The 11545-nt window shown below is 41.7% G+C and overlaps 1 protein-coding gene across 6 annotated transcripts in view, besides 1 other annotated feature; it reads right to left on the bottom strand.

Annotated features, from left to right (window-relative positions):
- NPEPPS (aminopeptidase puromycin sensitive) overlaps nucleotides 1-11545 on the bottom strand; it is a 100344-nt gene that overhangs the window by 1750 nt on the left and 87049 nt on the right. For 3 of the 6 annotated variants that reach the window (XM_017025373.1, NM_001411130.1, XM_047437107.1), the window contains 6 exons: nucleotides 8925-9067; nucleotides 7802-7858; nucleotides 3070-3177; nucleotides 2363-2518; nucleotides 2155-2249; nucleotides 1743-1790 (listed from right to left, as the gene is read on the bottom strand). In XM_017025373.1, coding sequence (XP_016880862.1) covers nucleotides 1743-1790; nucleotides 2155-2249; nucleotides 2363-2518; nucleotides 3070-3177; nucleotides 7802-7858; nucleotides 8925-9067 — 607 coding nt within the window. The remainder of the gene's footprint in view (nucleotides 1-1742; nucleotides 1791-2154; nucleotides 2250-2362; nucleotides 2519-3069; nucleotides 3178-7801; nucleotides 7859-8924; nucleotides 9068-11545) is intronic. The other 3 variants (NM_001330257.2, NM_006310.4, XM_047437108.1) reach the window with 1 other exon arrangement.
- Nucleotides 5045-5546: an enhancer, noted in NCBI's record as "H3K4me1 hESC enhancer chr17:45693347-45693848 (GRCh37/hg19 assembly coordinates)". NCBI's record gives its function as "activates a minimal SCP1, AML or CMV promoter by ChIP-STARR-seq in primed H9 embryonic stem cells {active_cell/tissue: H9 hESC(primed)}" and the evidence as "EXISTENCE:reporter gene assay evidence [ECO:0000049][PMID:30033119]".

Here is an 11545-nt window from a genome sequence, read left to right as displayed (position 1 = left end):
TGCCTTTCTTTTAGGCTAATTGTGTAGTGGTAAATATAGTCTTTGGAATGAAGACTTGGAACCTGAATCCAGGCTTAGTCATGTACTAGCTTGTGACTGTGAGAAAATTAACTGCTCTAAGTCTCAGTTTTCTCAACTATGAGAAAATATCTACTCCAGAAGATTAAAGAGACAATCCATATAAACATTTGACAAAATACCTAGCACAGAGTACTTAAGGATTCAACACATTTTGGCTGCTTCAAATAAAGATTAATTTGTAAGGGATGATAATACAAAGAAGTTTAAATTGCTGCTATGCCCTAATAATTTAACACCCCATGGTCTTTTTTTTTTTTTTTTTTTTGAGACAGGGTCTCACTCTGTTGCCCAGGCTAGAGTGCAATGAAACGATCATGGCTCATCACAGCCTCAACCTTCTGGGCTCAAGTAAACCTCCCACCTTAACTTCCTGGGTAGCTGGGACCACAAGCGTGCACTCCCAGGCCAAATTGTTTTTTCCTTTTTGTAGAGATGGGGTCCTACCATGTTGCCCAGACTGGTCTTGAACTCTTGAACTCAAGCAATCCTCCCACCTCAGCCTCCCAAAATGCTGGAATTACAGGAATCCAACATTTTTAATACAGTAAACCAAACAATTTCTAAGTTTACAATTTATCACAATGCTTAATGATTAAAAGTTGAATAAACTTTTCTAATGCAGTACACCTGGTTTCACAGAAAACAAAGCAACTCTTAAACACCAGCTGGCAAAATGATAGGGCTTTTCCTTTGAATTAGTCACCACAGGTGTGAAAGACAGAATGACTAATCCATCTGATTAAACATAGACCTTTTAGAAATCAATAACCTTATTTACACAGATGACAATTGCTACTGTTCCAAGGCTCCTAATCATGGTTCAGTTCTCAGGGCCTCAAGTCTTTTTCCATTCCATCGCAGAGTAGTACCAACATTTATACACCAGAAACCTGGGGATTATCCTGGCTTGTTTTTCTTCCTCTCCCAGATATGCTCACAACAGAGAAGCCAATCAATAAATATTGTTGAACTAAATGGTTAACAAATTCAAGCCCCTGAATCTCCATTATTCCATCTCCTCCACTACTGCCACTACCCTACTGTAAGCTATTCTATCATTCTTGCTAGGAGAGTTAGCTTCCCAACATCTTCTCTTCCCCATTCCAAACTATTATCCACATTGCAGCCAGACTGAAATTTTTATAACACAAATCAGATCAAGGCACTGCCTTGTTTATAAACCATTCGAAGGCTTTCCATTTTTAGGACTTTTTTTTTTTTTTTTTTTTTTGAGACAGGAGTCTCGCTCTGTCACCCAGGCTGGAGTGCAATGGCACGATCTCAGCTCACTGCAACCTCCACCTCCCGGGCTCAAGCAATTCTCCTGCCTCAGCCTCCCGAGTAGCTGGGATTAGAGGCGTGCACCACCATGTCCAGCTAATTTGGGGTTTCACCATGTTGCCCGGGCTGGTCTTGAAGTCCTGACCTCAGGTGATCCACCCACCTCGGCCTCCCAAAGTGCTGAGATTACAGATGTGAGCTACCATGCCTGGCCATTTTTAGGAAATTCTTAATATGGCCTATACAGCCCTGCATGATGTCTTTCTCTAAACAAAAACACAGAGATGCTACAGTACATTATCCCAACACTATAATTACAACCAGGTTATTGTTTTTACTTACTAGACTGAAAAGTGAAGAGTAAACAGTATTTTCCTTACCTTAACCTCTCCAGCCATTTTATCAACTGCAAATCCCTCAACTGATAGCTGCAAAACAATGGTTTTAAACAGTAAGTGAAACCAAGAGGCTGAGAACAAACTTCCATTTACCCTAAAAATAAATCATTCTGTTCTCTGCCAACTTCAGTCTGTTATAAAGGATGTGTGATGGGAGATGGAGAAGTCCTTAAATAAAGCCAGTAACTATTTAAGGAAACTTTTTTTTTTTTGAGACGGAGTTTCACACTTGTTGCCCAGGCTGGAGTGCAATGACCTCATCTCGGCTCACCACAACCTCTGCCTCCCAGGTTCAAGCGATTCTCCTGCCTCAGCCTCCCAAGTAGCTGGGATTACAGGCACACACCACCACGCTCAGCTAATTTTTGTATTTTTAGTAGGGACAGGATTTCACCATGTTGGCCAGGATAGTCTCGAACTCCCGACCTCAGGTGATCTGCCCACCTCGGCGTCCCAAAGTGCTGGTATTACAGGCGTGAGCCACTGCACCTGGCCACAGGAAACATTTAAAGAGCAAAGACCACAATGTATGGGTGTAGTGAATCATGGATGTCACTAAATAATATCCATGATTAGCAAGCTACTCAAAGTTTTTCACATACCTTTATTAGTCTGGATATTAAGAATCCTCCCTGGTATCGGTTATAAAGTTCTTCCCAGTTGTCCTTTATGAATTTCCAAGCAGCTTTCCTACCATGCTTGCTGCCTCCAGCTACTCCACCAATTACCGATACAGTGTCCTGTGGACGTACCTCTTCCTAAAAAAAGAAAGAGAGCTAAAAGTCTAGTGTATCAAAAACATATTCTGGTACCAGAAAGTGCACCATACTGTGACACTGAAGTAATCACACTGAAGACACTTATTCCTTGTTTTAGGAATAACTGGAACCAGAAGTTCTCAGCAAAGAAGATAATGTTTAAGCTAAAGATAACCAAAATGAGAATGAGGTACTGAGACAGGTTCAGACAGACAGACTGCTCAACAGATACTTGCTTAGGAGCCTATAGGTTTAAGAAAGGAAGAGACACAAAGTAAGCAAAGGCATAAGCCAGTTTCCCAGTTTTCAAGAGTCCCTGTCCTCATAGTTTCCATTCTGGAGAGACAATTTGTTTACTCTCCCAACTATTCTGATTCTCGCCACTAGTGGGAGAAAAACAGAAGTCAGTAACAAAAACTCAAGCCAGTTACTCTGGAAAAGGAAGCTTTAGTTAGGGTTAAGGCAGCTCAAGAGGATCAGAGCTGAATCAGAGACACTTCTCAGAGATGGGTAACGATTCACTTCTAAATGCAGTTTTCACCGTAACTTACTGAAAGTGCAAACGTGAGGACTTTTTGAATCAGGTCAGGCAAAAGAGTAGCGCCAAGGACTCTTTCGATTCGGTTTTTCTCTTCTTGCATATCTGCTTGTTTATGAAGCTACAGGAAAAAAGATAAAGATAGGAATAGTTAACTCTCCCTTGGATGTTCTGCATATGATTATATGAGCTTCTTCCCCAGTAAGGTAAAACTTAGGTTCTATATTCTCACTAGGTAAGAATGGCAGGGCATTATATTAAAGAAAGAGAATACTTTTCAAGATGCTTTGGGCCAGGTGCGGTGGTTCACACCTGTAATCCCAGCACTTTGGGAGGCCGAGGCGGGTGGATCACCTGAGGTCAAGAGTTCGAGATCAGCCTGGCCAACATGGTGAAACCCTGTTTCTACTAAAAATACAAAAAAAAAAAATTAGCCGGGCGTGGTGGTGCCCACCTGTAATCCCAGCTACTTGGGAGGCCGAGGCGGGAGAATCGCTTGAACCTGGGAGGTTGCAGTGAGCTGAGATCGTGCCACTGCACTCCAGTTTGGGCAAGAGAGCGAGACTCTGTCTCAAAAATAAAAGAAAAAAAAAATGATGCTTTGGCACTAAATTTGTCATCTGCTGTTACAGTAAGTAAATCACTAGATGTAAATGCTACCAGATGAACAGCCTGTCATTAGTTCAGACCAGTTTAACATCAAGATCTAAGAGGTAAAATCTATCATAGCCAAATTCTTTACATCATTGATATCTGGCTAATGTTCTGTTTTAGAAGAACAAACTAATCATTAGTGTTCTTATACCAGATCATCAAATTAATTTATAATAGTGAAAAATTGAAAATGAATACTGTACTTATAAAAATGCATTATTGAAAGTTATATTTTAAGAATATATCATAAACATGTTCTTATATTTAAGTGAAGAAAGCAGACAAAGCAGAATTATCCTAAAAAATATATATATATATATGGCTGGGCACAGTGGTTCACGCCTGTAATCCTAGCACTTTGGAAGGCTGAGGTGGAGGTTGCAGTGAGCCCATATCGTACCACTGCACTCCAGTCTGGACAACAGAGCAAGACTGTGTTTCCAAAAAAAGGGGGTGGGGGAGAACCCCTGGAAATACATCAAAATGGTAGTATTAATTAATGATGGTTTCTGATCAGTGGGATTATGCATCTTCACACTTTTTAACTGCAAAAGCAGCACATACTGAATGCAGAATATCTGAAAGACAGAGAAGCATAAAGAAAAAAATAAAATTACTACTATATGTACATTAACAAATCTGGAAAGAGAGCATGTTATACATGCTGTTTTTGCTACCTGCTTTCTAAACTATAGGTAAGTTTTATTTTCCTCTTTATACTTTTCTAGTCTCTAAATCTTCCATAGTATATATGTATATAAAATCTTTTCATAGAAACAAAATGTTGTAATTCTTAAAAATTAGAACTATAAATGTATAAGAGCTATGTCTCCAAGACAATTTAGACTCTTTTGATCTTTTCTACCCCTTAAGATTTAACACTGACCAGAGTGTCTGGAGACCTCATCAAAGCTCTCAGTTTCCTCTTCCTTTCGACACTTTTTTTTTTTTCAATAAACAATTTTAATTTATAAGAAGTAGAGATGGGGTCTCGCTGTGTTGACCAGGCTGGTCTCTTTTTTTTTTTTTTTTGAGATGGAGTCTCGCTCTGTTGCCCATGCTGGAGTGCAATGGTGTTACCTCAGCTCACTACAACCACGCCTAGCTAATTTTTCTTTTCTTTTTTTTTTTTTGAGACGGAGTCTTACTCTGTCACCCAGGCTGGAGTGCAATGGCACAATATCGGCTCACCACAACCTCCACCTCCCAGGTTCAAGCAATGCTCCTGCCTCAGCCTCCTGAGTAGCTGGGACTACAGGCGCCCGCCACCACACCCGGCGAATTTTTGTATATTTAGTAGAGACAGGGTTTCACCATTTGGGCCAGGCTGGTCTTGAACTCCTGACCTTGTGATCCACACCCGCCTCGGCCTCCCAAAGTGCTGGGATTGCAGGCGTGAGCCACCGCGCCTGGCCTAATTTTTCTATTTTTAGTAGAGCCGGAGTTTCTCCATGTTGCCCAGGCTGGTCTTGAACTCCTGGCCTCAAGTGATCCTCCCATCCAAAGTGCTGGGATTACAGGCATGAACCACCACGCCTGGCCCCTTTGGACTCTAAGCAGCAGTGCAGTAAAATAGACAGGACCTTGGGAGATCTGGGTTCTAGTCCCAGTTTTGCCTCTAACTAGCTGTGTGATCTTGACTAAGTCCTTCATCCCTCTGGGTCTCAGTTTCCCCATGTGTAAAATGAGATGGGTGGACAGATAATTTCTAAGGCCCTTTTCAGCTCCAATATTCAAGGTCTGAACCTCTGGCTTTCAGGAAGCGTTTTCCTCCATAGAGAACTGTTATTCTAGTCCACTAGATGGCACTCTAACACCACATTTCAAATATACTATGAATTAATGTTTTTTAACTCTGCCACATTATTCCTAAATTACCATCATAAGACAACCCTCCTCATCTCTTACCAAGTGGCTTCTTGAAGAACCATGATTCGGCCTTCATTAGAGCTATTTCCATAGTGAAGCTGATTATCGTGAACTCTCTTGTGTTAAATAAATGCAAACTCTGAATAAATACACATACTTGTGGAAAATCTTAAAAGTGCCATGACATGAAAATATCAATGTATCTGCCATGAAATTTACAGAACCCCTATTTTTTTCCATATCATCATGGAATAGATGGAAAAAAATCAAATATCCCATTTCATACATATCATTTATAGTATACAGGTTCACAGAATATTAAGACTGAGAAGGGACCTTAATGTTCAGGTGGAAAGTAAACCCAAATTTAACTTTTTTTAGGGTCTTTTTTAAGATAGGGTCTTGCTCTGTCACGCAGGCTGGAGTGCAGTGGCACAATCATAGCTCCCTGCAGCCTTGAACTCCTGGGCTCAAGCGCTCCTCCTGCCTCAGCCTCCTGAGAAGCTGGAAATATAGGTGCATGCCACCGTGCCCAGCTCTCCCAAATATAACTTTTATATTCTTAGAAAGCAGGCCAGACATGGTGGCTCATGCCTATAATCCCAGCACTTTGGGAGGCCGAGTCGGGTGGATCACAAGGTCAGGAGTTCGAGGCCTGCCTGGCCAATATGGTAAAACCCCGTCTCTACTGAAAATACAAAAATTAGCTGGGTGTGGTGGCGGGTGCCTGTAGTCCCAGCTACTTGGGAGGCTGAGGCAGGAGAATCACGTGAACCCGGGAGGCAGAGGTTGCAGTGAGCCAAGATCGTGCCACTACACTCCAGCCTGGTGACAGAGTGAGACTCCGTCTCAAAAAAAAAAAAAAAAAAAAAAAGAAAGAAAGTAAACCTATTACAACATGGGTAAAGCAGTACATTTTGAGGTACAGTTTCTTAAAGTTTTTATTTTCAGACATCCTAATCATTTTTCAGAGGATTTGTTTAAAACCAAAATATCAGAATTTAGATCTGCAATTATGATCATTAGAGCTATTTCTACAGTGAAGCTGATTATCATGAACTCCCTGTAAGTCAGAAGAGTGTTGTTAATCCATGAAAGGTAGAGACAGTAAAGCACATTCCACTCCTGTCCTAAGCGTGGATCTTTTAACAAATGGGTTTTTAGGCACATTTTGCACATTTTATTTAATGATTAAAAAGTAGATTCGGCTACCTCCACCTCTAATGTAGCCAGTGCACTCAAGCCATTTCTTTATAGACCGGAACTGTATGAATAGGGACTGGAGATAGCATTTGCTTCACAGTACTACTATTGATTCAAAGTTGCAAACACTGCTGCCATTATGAGGACATGGAAAGTTTTATCTATATTTTGTCTAAGTCAGAGCTTAATTATATGCCAATTACTCTGGGAAAACTAGAGAGGCTATGAAGGCAGGTGAATTAATTTCCTGTCTATTAATAAAGGACCCTGCCATAGCTCAAATGCTTGAGACACTTGATCATCATCTGTCTATCCCTTTTCTAAGCACAAAAACAAACCTAAGCACAGAACCTAAGCACAGAAACAAACGTTTTGCTTAAAATGGGCAGAACCCCAAGTAAGTTTACACTGAAGATAAAATTTAAAGAAAGTGACTTGTTAATCAAAACGAACATTTATTTCAGTGTTAAAATTTCAGCTGGGCACAGTAGCTCATGCCTGTAATCCCAGCACTTTGGGAGGCTGAGGTGGGTGTATCACTTGACCCCAGGAATTTGAGACCAGCCTGGGCATGGTGAAACCTTCTCTCTACAAAAAACACAAAAATTAGCTGGATGCGGTTATCACACTCCTATAATTCCAGCTACTTGGAAGGCTGACGCAGGAGGATCACTTGAGCCTGGGAGGTTGATGCTGCAGTGATCCATGATTATGTCACTTTAGCCTGGGTGACAGAGTGAGACCTTGTCTCAAAAAAAAAAAAAATAATAATAAGATTTCAGATGCAAAAAGTGAGTAAAAAAGGCGGGGAAAAGTAAGATGTCTTTGGCATCATACTGATAATACTGATATAACATATATGGATAGACATAATTCTCTCACAGTTTTAAAATACTTGCATGTCTACAATATGCATCTTTCTTTTCTAGGACTGTCTTTTTTTTTAACCATTTAGAGGTTTACTGTGTGTCTATCCAAGTTCAAAAGCAGGAAATGGGAGCCTTCTCAAATATACTTACTTTTAACATAATATCTAAAGTAGTGCCATCACCATGCTTCAAAACAGTCAGATAGACCTACAAGGGACAAAAAATAAGTCATTTGATTAAATGTACCTTGTTTCAAGTATTCTAATACTAAGAAAAGACAGAAAGCAAGTAAACAATATTGTAAATGTTGGCCGGCTGCGGTGACTCACGCCTGTAATCCCTGCACTTTGGGAGGCCGAGGCAGGCGGATCACCTGAGGTCAGCAGTTCCAGGCCAGCCTGGTCAACATGGTGAAACCCTGTCTCTACTAAAAATACAAAAATTAGCTGGGCGTGGTAGCAGGTGCCTGTAATCCCAGCTACTCAGGAGGCTGAGGCACGGAGAACTGCTTGAACCCAGGAGGTGAAGGCTACAGTGAGCCGAGATCACACCACTGCACTCCAGCCTGGGTAACAGAGTGAGACTCCGTCTCAGAAAAAAAAAAAAAAAAAAAAAAAAGTAAATATTATAAATGTGAATATTACAAACTGTAGTTAAGGAGCTAGCAGTGCCTGTGAGCAACCACAAAGGTAAATGGCATGTTGTACCAGCAGAGCACAGCAGCTTTCAGGGGAATGTGCACAGCTAATCACCTTTCAGCACTGCAACACTGACTGAGAAACTTTAAACAAATAAGAAGAGGACTATAAACCACTTAAATAGTATATATTAAAATAGAGTTAGACGTGGTTTGTGGGTCAGTTCTTAGGTCAGTTTTGGCTATTAAAAAATGTTCCAGGCTTTTTAAAAAAAGTTACAGGCATGGTAGCTCACACCTGTAATCCCAGCGCTTTGGGAGGCCAAGGCAGGTGGATTACCTGAGGTCAGGAGTTCGAGACGAGCCTGGCCAACATGGCGAAACCTCGTCTCTACTGAAAATACAAAAATTAGCTGGGCGTGGTGGCGGCGCCTGTAATATCAGCTAGCCAGGAGGCTGAGGCAGGAGAATCACTGGAACTCGGGGGACAGAGGCTGCAGTGAGCCGAGATCATGCCACTGCACTCCAGCCTGGGCGACAGAGCAAGACTCTGTCTCAAAAAAAAAAAAAAAAAAGTTCCATGCTTCACAAAATGATGTTACCTATAAGTCAAGGGAATTTATGATGAAAACCTACAGGACTCCTCAGATCAGCGGAGAGAATCTGTTTTCCTTCCACGTGGTCCTTAAACCGACGACGGGCTTCTTCTAACGTTGCCTTATGTCCTGCTTTTCCTAGTTTTCCCAGAACCAAGCCCCTCAGGAGTGCATCGAGATGACCTGATTTGAGAAGTAAAAGAGACATAAGACTACTTAAAAAGCCTATTTTTATAAGTTTGCCATTTGGATATCTTATAATTGTGCTATACCAATTCTATGGTCTTGAACAAACACACTCAATTAACTTAATACCTGAGAGAATACTCGTTTTACATTTATCAAATCATAAGAGTGATATGCTAAACAGACTAGACAAGCAAATAAAGTTGCTGACTTTATCTACAGTCACGAATGCAAACTATCTGAGTTTACTAAATGTTTACTCAGTCTAGTTAACTACTCTGCTAAGGATTATGTGTGAAAAGGACAGGCTTACATCATGCTGTTTTGACCCAAGGTTCAAAGAAAGATCACATATGGAACTAGTATGCTCTTTGTATAATAAATTGAAATCTTAGATTTTAAAAATCAAAATCTGATGGGTCCATTCCTCCAAGACACACAAATAGCCAATAAGCACATAAAAAGATGTTTAACACATTAGTCATTAGGAAAATGCAAATCAAAACCACAATGAGATACCAATTCATACCCACTATGATGGCTATAATAAAAAAGATAATAGCAAGTGTTAGCAAGGATGTGGACAAATTGGAACCCTCAAACACTGCTGGTGGGAACACAATATGGTGAAGCCACTTAGAAAATCAGTCTGGCAGTCCCTCAAAAGGTTAAACATACAGTTATGGCCAGGCACAGTAGCTCATGCCTATAATCCCAGCACTTTGGGATGCCAAGGCAAGAGGATCGCTTGAGCCCAGGAGTTCAAGACCAACCTGAGCAACACAGCAAGACCCTGTTTCTACAAAAAACTTAATAATTAACCAAGCATGGTAGCATATGTCTGTAGGCCCAGTTACACAGGAGGCTGGGGAGGGAGGATCGCTTGAGCCCAGGAGCTTGAGGCTGCAAGGAGGTTGAAGCTGTAGTGAGCTATGATCACACTACTGTACTCCAGCCTGGGCACAGAGCAAGACCTTGTCTCTTTTTTTTTTTTTTTTGAGATGTGGTCTCGCTCTGTTGCCCAAGCTGGAGTACAGTGGCATGATCTCAGCTCACTGCAGCCTCCACCTCCCAGGTTCAAGCAATTCTCTACCTCAGTCTTCTGAGTAGCTGGGAATACACGGTTGTGCCACCACGCCCGGCTAATTTTTGCATTTTTAGTAGAGACAGGGTTTTGCCATGTTGGCCAGGCTGGTCTCGAACTCCTGACCTCAGGTGATCCACCTGCCTCGGCCTGCCACAGTGTTGGGATTACAAGCGTGAGCCACTGCCACCCAGCCGACCCTGTCTCTTAAAAAAACAAAAGGACGGGCGCGGTGGCTCACACCTGTAATCTCAGCACTTTAGGAGGCTGAGGCAGGCGGATCATGAGGTCAGGAGATCGAGACCATCCTGGCCAACATGGTGAAACCCTGTCTCTACTAAAATACAAAAAATTAGCCAGGTGTAGTGGCACAGACCTGTAATCCCAGCTACTCAGAAGGCTGAGGCAGGGGAATCACTTGAACCCAGGAGGCGGAGGTTGCAGTGAGCTGAGATCATGCCCACTGCACTCCAACCTGGAGACAGAGTGAGACTCCATCTCAAAAAAAAAAAAAAAAAAAAAAAAAAGAGTCATCATATGACTCAGCAATTTCACTCTTAGGTATCTTGAAAATAAATGAAAGCATGTCTACACAAAAACTTGTATACAAATGTGCATAACAGAATTCATAATAGCCGAAAACTGGAGCCCTCATGAATGGGAATAGTGCCCTTATAAAAGAGAGCCGGGGGTCTGGGTGTGGTGGTTCACGCCTGTAATCCCAGCACTTTGGGAGGCTGAGGCAGGCAGATCACGAGGTCAACAGCTCGAGACCATCCTGGCCAACATGGTGAAACCCCATGTCTACTAATAATACAAAAATTAGCTGGGCGTGGTGGCGTGCACCTGTAGCCCCAGCTACTGGGGAGGCTGAGGCAGGAGAATTGCTTGAACCCAGGAGGCGGAGGTTGCAGTGAGCCGAGATCGCACCACTGCACTCCAACCTGGCAACAGTGTGAGACTCTGTTACCCCCCCCCAAAAAAAAAAGGAATGAAAGACTGATACATGCTACAACATAGATGAATCTTGAAAATACTATGCTAAGTGAAAGAAGGAGATATAAAAGGCCAAGTATTTTGTGATTCTATGTACATGAAATGTTCAGAATAGGTAAATCCATGAAATAGAAAGTAAATTTGTGGTTGCCAGGAAATGGAGAGTGACTGCCAGTGGACACAAGGCTTTTTTTTTGGGGGGGTGGGGTGGGGCTGAGAGTGGGGAGGGTGAAGAAATTCTTCTGGAAATATAGAGGTGATAGTTGCACAATCTTGTGAACATACTAACAAATACTGAATTGTATACTTTAAAAGGGTGAATTTTATGGTATGTGAATTATCTCTCAAAAAAAGTTAACATCCAGGAAATAAATGATTGATTAAAAAAACAGTTA

Source organism: Homo sapiens, chromosome 17, assembly GCF_000001405.40.
Source record: "Homo sapiens chromosome 17, GRCh38.p14 Primary Assembly".
Taxonomy (NCBI): Eukaryota; Metazoa; Chordata; class Mammalia; order Primates; family Hominidae; genus Homo; species Homo sapiens.
The sequence above is the reverse complement of the archived record's forward strand: the minus strand, read 5'-3'. Positions and strand labels throughout refer to the sequence as shown.